The sequence below is a fragment of the Homo sapiens genome, chromosome 1 (assembly GCF_000001405.40).
Source record: "Homo sapiens chromosome 1, GRCh38.p14 Primary Assembly".
Taxonomy (NCBI): Eukaryota; Metazoa; Chordata; class Mammalia; order Primates; family Hominidae; genus Homo; species Homo sapiens.
Window position 1 is genome coordinate 193,229,930 of NC_000001.11, and position 20,720 is coordinate 193,250,649.

The 20,720-nt window shown below is 36.2% G+C and overlaps 1 protein-coding gene across 1 annotated transcript in view; it reads left to right on the forward strand.

Annotated features, from left to right (window-relative positions):
* The window catches only part of CDC73 (cell division cycle 73), a 132,785-nt gene that overhangs the window by 107,899 nt on the left and 4,166 nt on the right, over positions 1-20,720 (forward strand). The window contains exons 14-16 of the mRNA NM_024529.5: positions 3,064-3,225; positions 6,327-6,427; positions 19,801-19,942. Of these exons, the coding sequence (NP_078805.3) occupies positions 3,064-3,225; positions 6,327-6,427; positions 19,801-19,942 (405 nt within the window). The remainder of the gene's footprint in view (positions 1-3,063; positions 3,226-6,326; positions 6,428-19,800; positions 19,943-20,720) is intronic.

The window sequence follows — 20,720 nt, forward strand, 5'->3', positions numbered from 1 at the left end:
AACTTTCTGGTTGACACAGATGTTCTTTATCTTGATTGGAATGGTGCTTATACTTAGTATACGTTCTTCAAAACTCATCTATTTATGCATTTCACTGTATGTAAATTTTATGTCAATAAAAATGTTGTATATTCAAAAATACACTAAAATGAAGCAGTGGAGTGCAGATTTGATGTTTGAATTCTTCCGCATTAGAGGAATGACATTCCCATTCTTTTTTTTTTTTTTTTTTCTCCTGAGGCAGAGTCTCACTCTGTCCCCCAGGCTGGAGGGCAGTGGTGTGATCTCGGCTTGCTGCAACCTCTGCCTTCTGAGATCAAGTGATTTTCCTGCCTCAGCTTCCAGAGTAGCTGGGATTACAAGCGCACGCCACCACACCTAGCCAATTTTTGTATATTTAGTAGAGACGGGATTTCACCATGTTGGCCAGACGTCTCGAACCCCTGACCTCAAATGATCCACCCACCTTGGCCCCCCAAAGTGCTGGGATTACAGGCATAAGCCACTGCACCTCGCCCTAATCCCGTATTTTTTTTTTTTTTTTTTTTTTTTTTTTGCAAAGCAACAACCAGGAGCTTTATGGAACCTAAAAATGGAAGATAGCAATAGTAGATGAACCTATTTTGCCTGAGATACATATGAAACAATTGCCTATCACACACCCAGCAGTGCAGCCCAAGCCAGAAGAAATAACCAGTTTTCTGGAGGGATGATGACTGTGATTTATGTAGAATATCATAGTTTAATTGGCAGTAGTTTTTTCCTTTCATAGTGGTACAATATAATGGTGTAGCTCACAATCATTGTGTCTTAGATTTGATGAACTGCAGTAGGGTGAACAGGTAAAATTATATTGACTCTGTGGAATACTAATCTTTTTAGTAGACTTAACTTTAGGGAAGAGGTCATAAGATCTATCCTTATGTTTTCAAATGAGATCCTTGCTGAAAAGCGTTTTGAAATAAAGCCTTTTTTATTGCTAATAGAGATGACTAATTCTAAGAAAATACGTAGATATAATCAGAAATTAACATGCTACAGCATCTAAAAATTCTAGGACGGTGGTTAATTGTAAAAACCACGTTAATGTTTCTGAGCTTTTATAAAACATATCAACCAATGTGTAGACCTGCAAAAGTTGAAATAGGTGTATAATAGACTTTTTATTAGTTTGGTATTGTAATAGATCACTCATTTGTATGTATTTTGCATTCTAGTCATATGATTATAAGTAATTTTGTTTATAAGTTTATAAGTAATTTTGTACAAGTAAATTTAAACTTTAACACCATGTTAAAATTTCAGAAGCCAGAAAAGAGGGAGATGCAGTCTTATATTTAACAACTTAAAACAGTTTAAATCCCATGTAGTTATAGACTGAGATAAAACAAAGCATTTCTCTTGGCAGTAGAATCCCTTTGTTCTGTGTGTGTGGAACATAAGTTCAAGAGGGCAGGGACTATGTTTTGTACAACTATGTATATTATAAAACTTATAGCACAATGTATTGCACATACTATTAAAACATTTTTGTTGTGGCTTTTTATTAGAATGCAATTTCAAACAATGCACACATATTAAATTTTCTAAATAATGTGTTTCATTATTCAAAGTATTAGTACTGTCTGGCATTTTCTAAGTGAGCTTGATTAATAAATAAACCAAATGCCATAGGAAGCAAATGATTATCTGGGGGAAATTTTTAAATGATATAGAAATCTTAACTTTTTAACCAAATGTAAAATGGATGTGAGAACAATCAGCTCAGAAGCAAAGTTCAGTATCATCATTATCACCATGAACTAAAAACTTTCTAGACAATAAAATTAGTATTATGTGATGAATCCAATATGTGTAATTGAAGTTTTTCAGAGAACTCTAATTAGTGCAAGTTCTCCTGTGCTTTTTGGTCCTTTCACCCTTTCATCTCTTTTAAACTTTAGAAGCAGAATGATACTCTCAATATATTGATTGTATTCCCTCCATTTTATTGGAGAGACTAGATCATAGTTAATAAAATATGTTATTGGACTGTTAGGATTATGTATATATTTAGAAAATAAGACTTTTAAAATACTTTGTGAACACTAGCAAATTTTACAGGTGGTAATAGCTATCCAGATTGCTAAGTTATTTTTAAGAATATCTGTCTTGAGAATGGATCCACATAAGTAAGTTGATAAATGCCACTAGTTGATAATAATAGCAGGTTATCAGCATGCACTGATTTAATTTTCATACTTTAAAATTTTCAAGGCTACTCTGAAGTTTGATGGTATTTTTGTAATTTTGCTGAAGCATAAAATCTTAAAAAAAAAAAAGTTTTATGAAGCTCCTGGATAGGCTAAGTCGTAAAGAAGCCTACTAGCCACAACAACTTTTTCATTTCAAATGACCTTTTGATTTCTAATAAAATTCCTCTTTATCATGAAGTTTTCCTCTAATAGAATTTGAGAAATTAAGTATTAGTGTGGAAAATGCTAAGTGCTAGTTGAATGAATATAAATTGTGTGGTGTTACACACACATACACACACACACACACACCCAACTTAGGGTCTGAGTGAGCTTGAGTTCTATTTGGTATACAGAGGAAAGACCTATACACTCCATGATCTGTACTTGCAGAGCAGGTTTATTTAAAAACAAACATCTTTAGTTTAAAACTAATTAATGTTTAAAAATTATTTCAGACCGGGCGTGGTGGCTCATGCCTGTAATCTCAGCACTTTGGGAGGCCGAGGCGGGTGGATCACAAGGTCAGCAGTTCGAGACCAGCCTGACCAACGTGGTGAAACCCCATCTCTACTAAAAATACAAAAAAATTAGCTGGGCGTGGTGGCGGTCACCTGTAATCTCAGCAACTTGGGAGGCTGAGGCAGGAGAATCGCTTGAAACCAGAAGGTGGAGGTTGCAGTGAGCCAAGATTGCACCACTGCACTCTAGCCTGGGCAATAAGAAAAAACTCTGTCTCAAAAAAAAAAAATATTTCAAATTATAGTTTATCTTCCCATTTTCATCACGTGGAATACATTGACTTTTTCTCATCTCTGTTTTTTCAAAGATTTGTCCCATCAGATGAAAAGAAGAAACAAGGTTGTCAACGAGAAAATGAAACTCTAATACAAAGAAGAAAAGACCAGATGCAACCAGGGGGCACTGCAATTAGTGTTACAGTACCTTATAGAGTAGTAGACCAGCCCCTTAAACTTATGCCTCAAGACTGGTAAGATAGTCTCTATATATATATCTTTTCACAGGTGTTGAACCCAAGAGAATGAATGTTGTTATTGCCGTTGATGACGTTGCTTTTTAAGAGATGGGGTCTCACTATGTTGCCTAGGCAGAACTTGAACTCCTGGGCTCTGTCAGTCCTCCTGCCTCAGGCTCCCAAATAGCTAGGACTACAGGTGCATGCCACTGCACCTGGCAGCCTATATTTTTTAAATATTCGTTTGTTTTCTGTATATTGTTGGTTGTTTTTTCTCATGTGAGCAATTATCAAATTTTATCATGGGTTCTAAATAGAAACTGTCTTTGAAAAGTGTGTTGATGTATATTTACTTTGGTCATCAATAATGTTAACATTCTAATAATTCCTCAATAACTTTATATTTTGGATAAGTAAACTTGATTTTACTTATAAGAAGAAACATTCCAACTTCTGGAAAACCCAGTGTAAAAAATTCTTTCCACTTGTTCATTTGTTCCGGATCAGCTTGTAGAACCCAGCAAATTAGGCTAATGTAAGGTATTCTATGTTTAGATTTTTGGTTTGGAGAATTTCAATTTTCTGGTAAGAAAAAAATGAAGGCATATTTTATTGTAAGGGAATAATGTAATAAAAATAGGAATAGCTCTTTTATCATGGTTTAACACTTTTATTGAATTTAAGTGTCCTTTAACAAAATATTAAGCTGTTTATAATATAAAGTGCCTATAAATTTAGACACACAAATTACCTTATTTCTTTAACCGGGAGTAAAAGTTGAGTATATATCCGTGATACAGAGAACGCAACACATGGCACATTAGATGAATTTACCTTTGAAGTACTTGTTAGTTTTCAGGCATTAAGAAGTCAAGGCATTGAGAATATTAATATTAAAAATTTTCTTAAGAAAATTGCAACCAGGGGGCACTGCAATTAATTAGTGTCACAGTATCTTATAGAGTAGTAGACCAGCCCCTTAAACTTATGCCTCAAGACTGGTAGGATAATTCTCTCTCTCTCTCTCTCTCTCTCTCACACACACACACACACACACACACACACACACACACACACACACATATATATATTTAAAATTTATATATTTATTTATATATATAATTTAATTATAATATATATAATATACATATTATATATATAATATAATTTAAAATATATATATATTTAAAACACACACATAAATATATATATATATATTTAAAATTATAATTCTTCTCTGGTACCTAATAGATACTTTGAGTAATATAGAAAATGAGTAAGATGAGAATTTCAGATATCAAGCTTAAAACCAAGTAGGAAAGTTATATCACTTGTATTTTATGTTTGCAGTGTATTTGCAGAAATAATACAGTGTATACAAATCTCATCACTATGCTGTAAAATACTGCTTGTGTGTATTAGTTAGGGTCTCCAGCCATTGAAGCCTCCAGCATTTTCCCTACTTCCTTATTTTCCTTTTCCTTTAATTGTCCTTCCAAGAATTCATGGGGAGTAACATTTTTATTCTGCTTCCGTGCTGATGCTATGAGACCCAGTAGAATATAAGTGACCTCTGTCCAGCAAATTCCCTTTGCTTTGGCAGGCATCTTGGGCTTTCAACTGTTGTAAGTTACATCATAAAACTGAAAGATTATTTAATAGTGTGCTGCATTGCCAAAGATGATTTTGACAGTTTGAGGCATGTATCCCATGAAAGGGGAAATTTTTTAACTTAAGATTTAATTTTAGTCTCAGAGATTTTTTTTAATTTTTTATTTTATTATTACTATACTTTAAGTTTTAGGGAGATTTTGAGCAGGTTGAGAACTTTAAGCTGGCAGTTTTTAATAGTTGTAGGTCTTTGCTTGAATAGAAGGTAACCCTGGTTTAATGTTTTTTTGTATGTCTGCAGTCGTCATTAATTGCAGTGGTTATCAAAGTGTGGTCTGCAGACCTCAGGTCATTCCTAAGACCCTTTCACAGAGTTGCAAGGTGAAAACTATTTTCATAATAATACTGAGATGGCTATTCTCATGATTTATCTGCCCTTAAATAGGAACAGTAGCATACCCAGTGCCCTAGCATAGTAATTTATTCTCCTCCTTCTCTTCTTCTCTTCTTCCTTTTCTCTGTACTTCTACCTTCCTCCTTTCTCTTCTCCAACATGCCCATGCACTTGTTTCTTCATTTATACAATGAGGTTTCTAATACAGTGAGGTCATTGGATTGTTTTGAAGATTAAATGTGTTAACATCATAAGTAACGCATAAAGTCCTTAAAATGGCACTTGACACATAGTAAATGCTCAATAAATGCTACTAATGTTAACCATTATTGCTGATAATGTTGTTGTTTTGTTCCCACCGCTTTAGTTATTGGCTTTAACTGTTTATGGCAGTACTTCTTATAATTTCTCAATTCAATTAAGTATTTTATAAAATAATGAAATTTGAGGGCCTACAAAGAAGTTTGTTCTTTCTAGGAAAACTGGGTTGTTTGGTTGGGAAAAAAATGCTTTAAAAACTACTTATAAATTTAGGGTGAATGAAACAGTTGTAAAACAATTGCAAAAATTATAAAAGTCTAAATGGTTTCTATACTCAGATTACTTCCTAAGTAATCACAAGAACTCAGATAAGGCCCTGGGACCTCGTAAAATGGTTGATGAGTTCCTATAATGTAATATTTTTAGTTAAAGTAAAATATTTAAGATGTGTTTGAATTTTAAATGATTTTTTAAACAACTTTTTTGATTAATAGTTATCAACCACTATTCCCTATTACATTGGAAAAGTGGGCCACTACTCTAATTAACAGAAGGGAACAGAAAGGGCAAACAAGATTACATACGAGTATTGTCCATTGAATTATGTTTAAAAGACTTAGGTGTAAAAACCAGATACATGAGAAGTATAGCAATCATTAATACATTCTAATGGCAATATCATATTGAAAAGGTGGTAAGTACTGTATTTGCTTCATGGAAGGATTGATAAGACTCTTTCACATGAATGTTTATGGGACTGTTGCCTAAGGGATTTATAGTAGCTAAAGCTCAAGTTTGAAATAATCTCCGTCTGTCCCCTACCTCCCCCCACCCACTTTTCTACTTGTAGGGACCGCGTTGTAGCCGTTTTTGTGCAGGGTCCTGCATGGCAGTTCAAAGGTTGGCCATGGCTTTTGCCTGATGGATCACCAGTTGATATATTTGCTAAAAGTAAGATTCTCTTTGTATTTACTGTATCCAGTATAGAAATGTTCTCACTTTATTTAAGAGAAACAGTCATATAGTTCTGCGCATATGATGTGTATGTCAAAAGATTGCTGTTAAGTAACATATGTTAATGTTTAAGCATCTGTGACATATTTTTAAAAGCTTTGTATATTAATACTTTCTGTGTAGGTATATCTGAAAGTGAATATTGCCTATCCCACAACATTACTAATTATTTTTAGATCACTTAAAAATCATTGGCCAGACACAGTGGCTCACACCTGTAATCTCAGCACTTTGGGAAGCTGAGGCAGGTGGATCACCTTAGGTCGGGAGGTCGAGACCAGCCTAACCAACATGATGAAACCCTGTCTCTACTAAAAATACAAAATTAGCCGGGCATGGTGGTGCACACCTGTAATCCCAGCTACTCGGGAGACTGAGGCAGGAGAATCGCTTGAACCCGGGAGGCGGAGGTTGCAGTGAGCCGAGATCACTTCAGCCTGGGCAACAAGAGCGAAACTCCGTCTCAATAGGAAAAAAAAATTAATACTGTTGCATGTCCATAGATTTTGATTAAAATTGATGCCAGTTTTTTTTTTTTTTTTTAGACGGAGTCTGGCTCTGTCGCCCAGGCTGGATTGCAGTGGCGCGATCTCAGCTCACTGCAAGCTCCGCCTCCCGGGTTCACGCCATTCTCCTGCCTCAACCTCCTGAGTAGCTAGGACTACAGGCGTCCGCCACCACGCCCGGCTAATTTTTTGTATTTTTAGTAGAGAGGGGGCTTCACAAGGTCTCAATCTCCTGACCTTGTGATCCACCCATTAGTTATTATGAATGTCAATTGTACAATTCTGAAATGTCTTATGTTTTTAGCAGCCCCAGTTTTTGTTAGTGGTACCATCATTTTTCCTTAGAAAATACCCAAGCTTGAAAGTTTTAGTCATTTGTTCTTCTGTTACCTTCATTCATTTAAAAAAAAAGAATTCTAATATTACTGACTGTAGGAAATTGGTCAGGGTGGTGGGAGAAATAGAAAAAAGATGCAAACCTTCTTGGAAGGCTGGGAGGTTTTGCAAAAGCTTTGAAAGATAATTTGGCTGAAGTCAACTGGATTCTCTTACCCGGAGCCTGATAGCAAAGATTAGATAACCTGGGGATGTAAAGAAATTGATCTAGATAAGTTAGTTTACTTAGGCCTCCCAGAACGTGGCCTTTAATCAACTGCAGGAGTCGGGAGGTAGGGGTGGCGGGTTGGAGGTGGTGTGGTGGGGTGGCGAGGCAGTGGTGACCACGTTAATTACCCACAAGTGTGTTGACTCAAAGCCTTTGTCATTAAATCTGTAATAAAAAGATGCTGGCATGTCAGGGCTGCGGCTGCTGTGACTCTTTACGGCATCCTCCTCGACGTCTGTGAGTGGCCCAGTCCCCTAGCTGCACGTCCAGGAAAAAACCTGTGTCTGCGTACATTTTCCTTCTGTCGTTCGGCCAGGATCTGCAGGTTGGGCCCGGCAACTGACATTATGATAGCTTTTTATGTTATTTCTGAAACTTGAGTGATACACAGAGTTGGTAAATGGGAAGTTAAATAAAAAGGGAATGAGAATTTTAATGAAAGTAAAATGTCAACGAGAATTCTTTTTTACCTACTTGCTTGCCTTGTTGAATAATGTTTCAACAAAAAATGATTAGGATGTCTTTAAGATATAAATGTTGTATGAAATTCATTAAGAATATAAAGTTTTAATTTTTGTTCAAATTTAGTCTTCTGAAATTTAGATAAGAATTTAGAGAATTTTAACAATCATCAGTGATTTACTTTCATGAACTGTTCTTTCTCTTTCACCTGTTCCTTCTATACTGACTCCTTTTTCTCAGCGTTTAAGAATACTCTTTCCCCTTCCTTCTTAAACAACAAAACAAAACCCTTACCGTTGACCTCACCCTTTCCCCTAGCTTCTTCTTTTTCCTTTTATAGCTGCACTTTGGAAAGAATTGTCTCTACCAACTCATTTTCTGTTCATATCCCCTGTAGTCTGGCTCTTGCTCTGTACTAAAGCTGTTTTCACTGAAGTCACCAGTGACTCAAATATTGGATACTGTTAACTTACCAGAATTTGATTCTGTTGACTCCTTTACTCCTTTTTAAGTTACTTTCCAAGTACCTGTTACACTTTGTCTCAGATTTTCTTGCTACTTTTCCTCTGGTTATCAACTGGAATGGACCCTTCAATATCATGCAGTTGAAAACTCCCATATAACTTTTGACTTATCCCAAACATACATACTAATAGCCTACTGTTGACTGGATGCCTTAACTGATAACATAAACAGTCGATTAACAAATATTTTACATGTTAGCATTGTATACTGTATTCTTATGATAAAGTAAGTAGAGAAAAAGAAAACGTTAAGAAAATCGTAAGAAAGAGAAAATACATTTACTGTTCATTAAGTGGGAGTGGGTTATCATAAAGGTCTTCATCTTCATTGTCTTCACATTGAGTAGGTTGAGGAGGAGGAAGGGTTAGTCTTGCTGTCCCAGGTGGCAGAGGCGGAAGAAAATCCATGTATAAATGAACCCACTCAATTGGAACTTGTATTGTTCAAGGATCAAATGTATATGGTTATGTCCCTATTTCTCTTCTCCCATAATTTTAAATACCCTCTCAAGAAGATCTCATAGCTTTCAATTACCATTTATATTCCCTCATTCTAAAAATTATGTCTTTAGCTCAATATTCTGGACCTATATACCTCACTCACTATGAGATAACTTCTCTGTGATATCTCATTGGTACATCAAACTCAACCTTTTCCAAATGGAATTGATGGTTTTACTCTCTTCCTTATTCCTCAAACTATTTCTTATTATCTGTTAGTCCTTTTCAGTAATTTGCCTAAGCCAGAAACTTGGGAGTATATTATCTTAGCTCTTGGTTGATCTTTCTGCTTTCACTCTTCTGGCTTCCAGTTGTTTTCTCCATCAGATTACACTGTACAGCATTGGGGGAAAACTGAGGGTATTTGGGAGCATCTCTGTGGGCCTTGATAGAAAATTATATTATATTTTGTTAATGTTGCATAATTATAATGAAATACATCGTTTGAGAGAAGATTAAATACTGATTTGCATAAAATTGCCAAATAAAATCTTTACAAATTTAGAATAAGTTTAAGCTGATATCTGGATATATTTTAGATATGTTATACTTGACGTGGCTATATTTATTTGTTGGTTGACATTTAAAATTTTTTTTTGTTGATACATAATATTTGTACATATTTATGGTGTACATGTGATATTTTGTTACATGGATAGAATGTGTAATGATCAAGTCAGTATTTAGGGTATGTATCACCTTGAGTGTTTATTATTTCTGTGTTTTGGGAACATTTCAAGTCATCTCTTCTAGCTGTTTAGAAATATATAATACATTATTGTTAAGTATAGCCTCCTACTCTGCTTTTGAACATTAGAATTTATTCCTTTGTGCAGCTGTTCACCATGGCATATGTTTAACTGTGTAACAGTCCTGCACATGTACCCCAGAACTTAAAAGTTAGAAATTAAAAAAAGAATTTATTTCTTCTACCTGTATGTTTGTACACATTAATCAACCACCTTTCATCCCTCTCCTTCCCTCCTGCCACACACATACACACACCCTTCCAACCCTCTAGTATCTTATCATTTTACTGTCTACCTCCATGAGATCAACTTTTAACGTTCCCACATAAAAGTGAGAACATAGGAAAATTTGTCTTTCTGTGCCTGGTTTCTTTCACTTAATAGAATGACCTTCCAGTTCTGTCCATGTCGCCTTGCCACAGATGACAGGATTTCATTCTTTTTTATGGCCACACAGTATTTCAGTGTGTATATATACTACATTTTCTTTATTCATCTGTTGATGGATTTAGGTTGATTCCAGATCTTGACTGTTGTGAATAGTGCTACAGTAAACAAGGGGTGCAAGTATCCCTTTGATAAACTGATTTTCTTTCCTTTTGAAAAATACCCAGTAGTAGGACTGCTGGATCATCCAGTAGTTCTGTTTTTAGTTTTGAGAAATCTTCATACTGTTTGCCATAGTGGCTCTACTAACTTATATTTCCACCAACAGTGTAGGAGTTCCCTTTTCTCTGCATCCTTGCCAGCATCTGTTACTCTGTTTTTAGTAATAACCCTTCTAATTGGGGTAAGATGATATTTCATCGTGGTTTTGATCTGCACTTCCCTGATGGTTAGTGATGTTGAACATTTTTTCATATATTTGTTTGCCATTTATTTGTATGTTACCTTTTGAGAAATTTCTGTTCATGTCCTTTGCCCACTTTTTAATGGGATTTTTTTTTAATTGTTGAGTTTCTTGCATATTAGTCCCTTGTTGGAAGAATAGTTTGCAGATATTTTCTCCCATTCAACAGGTTGTTCTTCACATTGTTTATTGTTTCCATTGCTGTACAGAAACTTTTTACTTTAATATAATCCCATCTATTTTTGTTGCCTGTGCTTTTGAGGTCTTAGCCATAAAGTCCTTGCCTCGACCAGTGTCCTGAAGCAGTTCTCCAGTGTTTTTCTGTGTTCTCTTGTATTCCACTCAGTTTCTGTGACATCATTATTTTGAATTCTTTTTCTGATATTTCCTAAGTTTATTTTTCATTGGGATCTGTAGCTGGAGAATTATTCTGTTTTTCTTTTTTTTGGAGGTATCATAATTTCTTACTTTTTCTGTTTCTTGTGTCCTATGTTGATATCTGCACATCTGGTATAAACATTGCTTCTTCTAGTTTTTTGAATTTGCTTTTTTAGGGGAGGACTTTTCCCCGAAGATGTACCTATGATTTTGATTGGGTGGGGCACTTTGGCTTTGGTTCTTCATACTGGCTGTGTAATTTCTAACCTATAAACAGCGTCAGTGGTGTCTGTGGTTTCCTCAGTGGCTTAAGGTTTGCTTGTTAGTGGAGGGTGTGGTGAAGTTTTGCTGGGGTCAGTGACATCAGGCAGGCTATTCCTTGGGCCCCAGTGGTGGCAGCAGCAGGCTGAGCCTGCCTGTTTTTGAGTCCCAAGGCCACGTATGCTGGCACCTGTGCTAGTAAGTCCAGACATCATCTTGGGTGCCAGCAGTGGCAGTGGTGAGCCTGGAGGGTGAGCAGGTCAAGTTTCTGGGCAGTGGGCAATGGCAGTAGCAGTGAAGGGGCAACCTCTGGCTCCCCAGAGGTCCACACTGTTACCAATTGTGGCTTTGATGGGCTGGACAGGACAGTGCGCAGGCCCACAGGGGGTGTGTGCGGGTGGGTAACAGTTGTGGTGGTAGTGGCAGGTTGGTTGGGCGTGTCTTCTGCCCCTGGGAAAAGTGCTCAGGTGCCAACAGTGGAGGATGTTGCAGGGCCACCCTCAGGCCCCAAAATGTGTGCTCAGGCACTGCTAGGGCGGCAGAAGGGGAGGACAGAGCCCAGCCAAGTTGGCCTGTCCTCAGGCCTCCAGGTCGCAGGCAGGGGTGGGGTGTTCTTCAGGTCCTTGGCAGTGTGCTACCAGCACTTGGGTCCTGCTGCTGGGGAGAGCAGCGTTGTTTTCAGTGGCAACGGCCAGTAAGCAGGCATCTGGGGCATGTGAGCTTCCGCCAGTTGGTGGCTGTGATTGGGAGAATCTGTCCTCAGGGTGCTTTTAAATACGTGACTGTTGGAGTTGTGGGGTCACTGCCAGTGGCTTGCACTTAGATATCATCATTGTCTGCAGGTTTGCAGGGGTTGGGGGGCTGTCTTCAGGTGCTTCCCCCACCCCGACTTAGGGTGTAAGGACTCTTGGGCCCCAGGGTAGGATGCAGTCTGGTGGGGGCCGAGCCCTCAAAATGGCGCTGTGCTGCATGCAGCTGCTTAGGGCATGTGTAGGACCCAAGCATGAACCTCCTATCTGGAGCATCTTGTGGTCTCTAGGCAGCTTTCTGTGTTGGTGTCAGGACCCCTGAGGGTCATGTGGCTCTCCCCTGGCTAGGATTGCAGGAGTCTGAGGTGGGAATGTGGACCATTAGGGGTCTCTCACCCTTATCTCACTGGTGAGCCCATCCTGGCTTCCCTTCTCCTTCCTTGCCTTAGGTGTTTCTGCTCACTTTATCTGTTGAATTCCAGTGCACTCTCTTAGATCATCTATTCAAAGTGTGATTATCTACTCACTGTTTTGGTTCTTTTTGTTTGTTGACCCTCCTGGTAACTTACAGAAGGTGGTTCTTCTTTTTGGAGGAGGCAGGTGCCAGATGCCTCTAGTTAGCTATCTTGAAGCCCCTCTCAAGATATTTTTAATGATAAATGTCTTCAAATTATTGCTAGCTACCATTGAAAAAATATTTTTATTTAATAATCTTCTGTATTATCCCTTTATCATTTGTCATGCGATCAGTATATCTAAATATTAAAAGGGCACCTCTTTGATCTCTTTTGCTTTGTTGCTTTCCCCAAAAAATGTTGGCAGCATTCATGAAGTTTGCAAAAACAAGCAATTCTGAGTTGTGTGAAATATTTTGCAGTTGTAATTCATTGTGCTGCGGTAAAACTGGCTTCTTACAAAAGAACTTTATTTCTTTTTCTTCTTCTTCTTCTTCTTTTTTTTTTTTTTGGAGATGGAGTCTTGCTCTGTTGCCCAGGCTGGAGTGCAGTGGTGCAATCTTGGCTCCCTGCAACCCCCAGGTTCAAGCAGTTCCCCTGCCTCAGCCTCCTGAGTAGCTGGGATTACAGGTGCACGCCACCATGCCTGGCTAATTTTTCTATTTGTAGTAGAGACGGGGTTTCATCATGTTGGTCTGGTCTCAAACTCCTGACCTCAGGATCCGCTCTCCTTGGCCTCCCAAAGTGCTGGGATTACAGGCGTGAGCCACCGTGCCCAGCTTACTTCTTGTTTTTAACTTCCAGAGGCTTAAAAACTTTTAATACTTTTTCTGAATAGGAAAGATTTTTTTTAATGATAATATGTTGGTGTAAGTTTGTTTCGCATCATTGCTTCATGCGAATAAAGTATGAGTGAAACTTTATATGTTTTTAAAAATTAGTGACTTACACTTTTTGGACTCTAGTATCCTAGCTTTAAATTTAAAAGTTGTCTATTCTGGTGGAAAAATAAATATCAATAAAGATGAAATCTGTTGAAATTATTAAAGAAGACTGTAGGCCATTATGGCTTCAGTTTGATCATTTTAAAAAATGTAACTTAGATGCATTCTGAAGAATGATTAGCAAATAGTTGAACAAGTTAGAAAAGCAACACCTAAGCAGAATGGAAATGATTAAAATGTTGATTTACACTGAATGCATGAGTTTTAAATTTTTTTTAATTGACAAATTTATTTTACACATGAATACTACTTTGAAAGTAAGTTTCTTGAATGTTATTACATGTAGCCCCTTTAATGAATTTGATTAAATTCAAAATGAATAATTTATGTCTGATGAAGAGACTTTTATTTATAAAAGCAAATAAATTAGAAATAAGTTTATTTTTCTGGGCACAAATTATTCATTTTAAATGTTTATTAAGAATTGAATCTTGATTAGTTGTTAACATCAAAAGCCAATATGCTAGCAAGCAATATGAAACAAGCAATCCATAAAATAGCTATCAGAAAAAACTTTAAAAGTCAATTGTTTTCTCTTTAAAACCTCTTATACCAGGTTGATACTGATCATAATCATATGCTAGTGAAAAAGTAAAAAATTGGGGGGAAAAAGCTTAACATTTGTACATGCACATGCAAAACAAAAGCTCCCTTGATAATAAAGGGATTGCAGATATAATGATAAACTAGCTGGGATGATTCAACTTGATTATTAAGGAGAGAAAAAGATTGTAAATCATTATTTTATAACCTACCTGTTTTTAGTACAACTAGTTGGGAAATTTTGCCCTAGATTATATCACCTGCCGAACAATCCAGAGTTGTCTTTTAAAAATGGCAATCATATAATTTCACCTTCTTCTTGTAAACTTTCCAGTGGCTTACTATCACATGTGGAATAAAAATCAGATTTTTTACACTGTAGCTGAGAATGTATATATAGGCTATTGCCTACAAAGAAAGTTAAACTGAAGCTGGTTGTGGTGGTATGTGCCTGCAGTCCCAGCTGCTGGAGAGGTTGGGCCAGGAGGGTCACTTGAGCCCAGAAGTTTGAGGCCCTGGCCTACATAGTGAGACCCTGTCTCAAACTGAACAACCAACCAAACAAACAAAGTAGCAAGTGTAACGTTTTTTAACATTTTTTAAAAAAATTATTCTTCAACATAGGACATTCCATGCTTGCTTCCATCTTGGAATCTTTGTGTCAGCTGTTCCTTCTGCCTAAAATCTTCCTCTCCCAAATCTTTGCAAGACTTGTTTTTTCAATTACCTGCTTCTAGATAATCTTGAGAACCCCTCTCTAAATACTATTGACAAAAACCTTCCACACGTGTATTATGTCCTTATTCTGCCTTATTTTTCCTCAGTAGCATTTATACTACCTGAGTGTTGTATATTTATCTGTTAAACTGTTGACTCTTAGAATATAAACTCCCTTAGGGTGGAGACTTTGTCTTGGTCACTATGTGTCTTTAGTGCCTACAATAATGCATAATGTGTAGTAGACAATGTATGTTAGATATATCTTTGATTATAATTTTTTAGTTTAACTTTTTAAATTGCCATATAATTGTACATATTTATGGGGTACATAGTGATATTTTGATACATACAATGTATAGTTATCAGGTTATCATAATTAGCATAGCTATCATCTCAAATGTTTATCATTCTTTGTTTTGGGAATAGTCAGTTTCCTCCTTCTAGCTATTTGAAACTATGTATTATTGTTAACTATAATCCTATAGTGGTGTGGAACACTCGAACTTATTTCTTCTATCCAGTCATAACAAATCTCTCTGTATTCCCCCTACCCCCTACTCTTCCCAGCCAATAGTATTTTCTGTTGCACTTTTTACTTCTATGAGTTCAACTTTTTTTTAGCTTCTACATATGAGAGAGAACTTGTGGTGTTTAACTTTATGTTTCTGGCTTGTTTCACTTAACATAATGTCCTCCATTTCCATCTATGTTGCCACAAATGACAGGATTTCATTTTTTTATGGCTGAATAGTATTTTATTGTGTACATGTATGCCACATTTTCTTTATCCATTTATCTGTTGTTGGACCCTTAGGTTGATTACATATCTTTGCTGTTGTTAATAGGACTGTGAATAGAATGCATTAAACATGGGGGTGCAGATATCTCTTCAGTATACTCATTTCCTTTCATTTGGATAAATGCCCATTAATGAGGTTGCTGGATCATATGGTAGTTCTCTTGGTAGTTTTTTGAGAACTCTAGACTATTCTCCATAGTGGCTCTACTAGTTTATATTCCCACCAACAATGTATAAGAGTTGCCCTTTCTCCACATCCTCTGGAGCATTTGGTATTTTCTTGTCTTTTGTATAATAGCCATCCTAACTGGAGTGAGATGATACCTCATTGTGGTTTTGATTTGGATTTCCTGACGATTAGTGACATTGAGCATATTTTAATATATTTGTTGACTATTTTTGTGTCTTCTTTTGAGAAATGTCTGTTTAGATCATTTCCACATTATAAAATCTGATTTTTTATGCTTTGAAATTTTTAAGTTTCTAGTATATTCTGATTATTAATCCCCTGTCAGATGAGTAATTTGCAGATATTTTCTCCCATTCTTTAGGTTGTCTTTTCACTCTGTTGGTTGTTTCCTTTACTGTGCAGAAGCTTTTTAGTTTGATATAATCTCATTTGTTTATTTTTGTTTTTGTTGTCAGTGCTTTTATTCATAAAGCCTTTTCCCAGACCAGTGTCCTGAAGTGTTTTCTCTATGTTTTCTTCTAGTAATTTTATAATTTGGGGTCTTATATTTAGGTCTTGAGTTGATTTTGTATGGGGTGAGAGGTAGGAATCTAGTTTCATTCTTCTGTATATAGAGATATACAGTTTTCCCTGCATCATTTATTGAAGACTGTCTTTTCCCCAGTGGAAGTTAAATTGTTCTTGTTTGCAGATGCCATGATCTTATATTTAGAAAAACCTGAAGACTTTACCAAAAATACTCTTAGAACTGGTAAATGAATTCAGTAAAATTGCAGGATACAAAATCATCATACAAAAACCACTAGCACTGTGGTACATGAACAGTGAACTAGCTGAAAAAGAAATCAAGAAGGCAATCCCATTTATAGTAGCTATCAAAAAAACCACCAAAATTCCTAGCAGTTTTTTTCTCTTCATCATTTCTTACCAAATTTTGTTAGTTTTCATTCCCCACTTTTCTCTTGCCACCCATATATATTCTGTTCTATTGAAGAAAAATCTCTTTATCCTCTAGCTTAATAAACTATAATTATTCTCTACTAAATACTTTGCAGTGATTGTCCATGTCACTTAAATATTATAAAAACTACTTAATATGGCCTGCAAGCCTAACATTTTTCTGAACCTCTGTGCTGTATATATCCCTTCCCTACATTATTTTGCACGATGCAGTTCTATTAACTTTCTCTAGTTTCTAGACTAATCCATTTTCTCTTTCAGCATGATCAGCTTATTCACTAGGTCACTTTTGTTCTGTGCTCGCTTAATTCGTACTTGGCCTTTAGATCTTAGGTTAGACATCAGTGCCTTTGCAAGGTTTTTGACTGAATTTGTGCGTGTAAGGTACAAGGCATAGCTTGTTTTGTGCTTTGCTTTATCAGGCTTTGCAGAATTTTTTTTTGTGAACAAATTGGTTTGTGGCAACCTTGTGTGTTGATAAGTCTATTGGCACCAATTGTCCAACAGTGTGTGTCCCTTTCGTATTGGTGATTTTTACAATATTTCAAACTTTCATTATTTTTGTATCTGTTATGGTGATATGGGACTAGTGATCTTTGATGTTACTATTAAAATTGTTTTGGGCACCACAAACCACACCCATATAAGATGGCAAACTTAGATTGATAACTGTTGTTCTGACTGCCCCACTGACCAATTAGTCCCTCATCTCTCTCTCTCTCTCTCTTCAGGCCTCTCTTTTTCCTGAGACACAGCAGTATTGAAATTAAGCCTATTAATAACCCTACAGTGACCTCCAAGTGTTTAAATGAAAGGAAGAGTTGCACATCTCTCATTTTAAACCAAAAGTTAGACATGATTAAGCTTAGTAAGGAAGGCATGTCAAAAGCTGAGACAGGCCAAAAGCTAGGTCTATTATGCCAAACAGCTAAGTTGTGAATGCAAAAGAAAACTTCTTCAGGGAAGTTAAAAGTGCTACTCCAGTCGACACACAAATAATAAGAAAGCAAAACAACCTTATTGCTGATATGGGGAAAGCTTGATTGGTATGGAAAGCAGATCAAACCAGCCATAATATTCTGCTAAGCCAGAGCCTGATCCTGAGCAGTGCCCTAACTCTCTTCAGTTCTGTGAAGGCTGAGAGAGGAGAGAATTCTGCAGAAGAAAAGTTGGAAGGTAGCAGTAGATGGTTCATGGATTTAAGGAAGTAAGCCATCTCTATAAAATAAAAGTGTAAGGTGAAGCAGCAAGTGCTGATAAAGAAGCTGCAGCAAGTTATCCAGAAGATACAGTGAATATTATTGATGAAGTTGACTACACTAAACAACACATTTTCATCGTAGATGAAACAGCCTGTTATTGGAAGAAGATCCATCTGGTACTTTTATAGTTGCAGAGAAGGCTGTGCTTTGGCTCCAAAACTTCAGAGGACAGACTGACTCTTTTGTTAGGGGCTAATACAGATGGGGACTTTGAGTTGCAACCAGTGGTCACTTAACATTCTAAATATCCTAGGGCCGCTAGGAATTATGCTAAGTCTACTCTGCCTGTGCTTTAGAAATTGAACAAAAAAGCGTGAATGACAACACTGTTTACAGCAGGGTTCAGTGAATATTTTAAGGCCACTGTTGAGACCTACTGCTCAGAAATAAAGATTCCTTTCAAAATATTAGTGCTGATTGACAATGTACCTAGTCATGCAAGAGCTTTGATGAAGGTGTTCAAGGAGATGAATGTTGTTTTCATGATTACTAACACATCTATTCCTCAGCCCATAGATCAAGGAGTGATTTAGACTTTTCAAGATTTATTATTTAAGAAATAAGTTTTGTAAGGCTTTAGCTGCTATAGATAGTGATTCCTCTGATGGATCAGGGAACAGTAAATTGAAACTTTTTAATTTAATAAGATTTACCATTCTAGATGCCATTAAGAACATTTGTGATTAATAGGAGGAAGTCAAAATATTAACATAACCAGAAGTTTAGAAGAAGTTGATTCCTACCTTCATGGTTCATAGATGACTTTGAGGGGTTCAAGACTTCAGTGGAGGAAATAAAGATAGGGTGTGGAAATAGCAAGTGAACTAGCATTAGAAGTGGAGCTTGAAGATGTGACTGAATTGCTGCACACTCATGCTGGAACTTGAATGGATGAGGAGTTCCTTCTTACAGATGAGCAAAGAAAGTGGTTTTTTTGAGATAGAATTCACTCCAGTGAGCACTTTCGTGAAGATGCCATAAACGTTGTTGAAATGACAACAAAGGATTTAGAACATGACATAAATATAGTAAAGCGGCAGAGTTTGAGAGGATTAACTCCAATTTTAAAGGAAGTTCTTCTGTAAGTAAAATGCTGTCAAATATTATCACATACTGTAGAGAAATCTTCTGTGAAAGGCAGAGTCAATCAGTGCAGCAAACTTCATTGTTGTCTTATTTTCAGAAATCGCTACAGCCACCCTAACCTTCATCAACCACCACACCCTGTTCAGTCAACAGCCATCAACATTGAGGCATAATCCTACACCAGCAAAAAAAATTAGGACTTGCTAAAGGCTCAGATGATTGTTAGCATTTTTTAGCAAGAAAGTACATTTTAATTAGGGGATGTACACTGTTTTTTAGACATAATGCTATTGCACACGTAATATAGACTGTGATACAGTGTTAACGTAACTACGTAACTTTTATAAAAATGCAATGAGGTACCAGGAAATATGCGTAACTCATTTTATTATGATACTTTATTGCGGTGGTCTGGAACTGAACCCACAATATCTCCAAGGTATGGTTGCACTCTTATGTTTCTGTGATAACGTACCAACCTTATAGTCTTTCTTACTGTCCTTCACTAGACTATATGCATTTTATCTTACCTTATTCCTCATTTTAGTGTCCAGTGGCTGGCGTGTATAAACCCTGAATGTTTTTAAAGATAATATTTTAAAAGATCACTTTAGTTATAATACGGCTTCAGTTGGTGGAATAAAGAAATTTTTTTCTTTTTTTTTATTTTGAGTAAAAATGATAACTTCTCTCCACCCTCTCTATAGTTAAAGCCTTCCATCTGAAGTATGATGAAGTTCGTCTGGATCCAAATGTTCAGAAATGGGATGTAACAGTATTAGAACTCAGCTATCACAAACGTCATTTGGATAGACCAGTGTTCTTACGGTTTTGGGAAACATTGGACAGGTAATTCCGATTCTAAAATATGCTTGTGTGTGTTTTATTGTAATTTTTCTGTCTCAGTTAAATTTTAAGTTCCATAGAGTTGTCAGTCTTATTCCCTAATTCCCTTCTTTCAACATTAACTTGATGCTTATCTTCAGTACATAATTAACAATTTTTTATTGTATAATTACTTTAGTTGGAGAATTTAGCCTGATAGAAGTAACACTAAACTGAGTCAGAAGACTTAGACTTTAGTCTTGGTTTTGTAATCTGTCTCTAATTATCTGTGTGACCTTTTTGAACCTTATTTTCTATCCAAGGAACTTTGGATTAAGAGAACCCTGTGTTTTTTGCAAGTACTGAAAGATCTATGATTCTGGATTTATTTGTGTTACGGATGGTTCACAAAAGGAAATGGTTTTTTAAAATTTATTTTAATTACTAGTATAGTGTTCATAAAGCCCTTTACATTAATAACAGTTTTGTAATCGGCAAATTTAAGAACAGCCTATAATCACAGTAAATACCACTGAATCGGTTCTCTTTGAGGTATGCTCCTTAAAATCTGTAACATTTTTGGTGCAAGTCTCTCATATCTGTGAAACATATATTATTTTAGCTAGAAGCTCTTAGATTATATTACTTAATAAGAGGAGTGTTATTTCTAGCTTATTCCAGAGTCTTTATATTTCCAGTTTTCTAGAAAACAGCATTTTATTCTGTTGATTTTAAGTTTTAAGAAATGTCAACTTGTTTTTACATGCATTATTCTAAAAATTCTAAAATTCCTATAGTCATT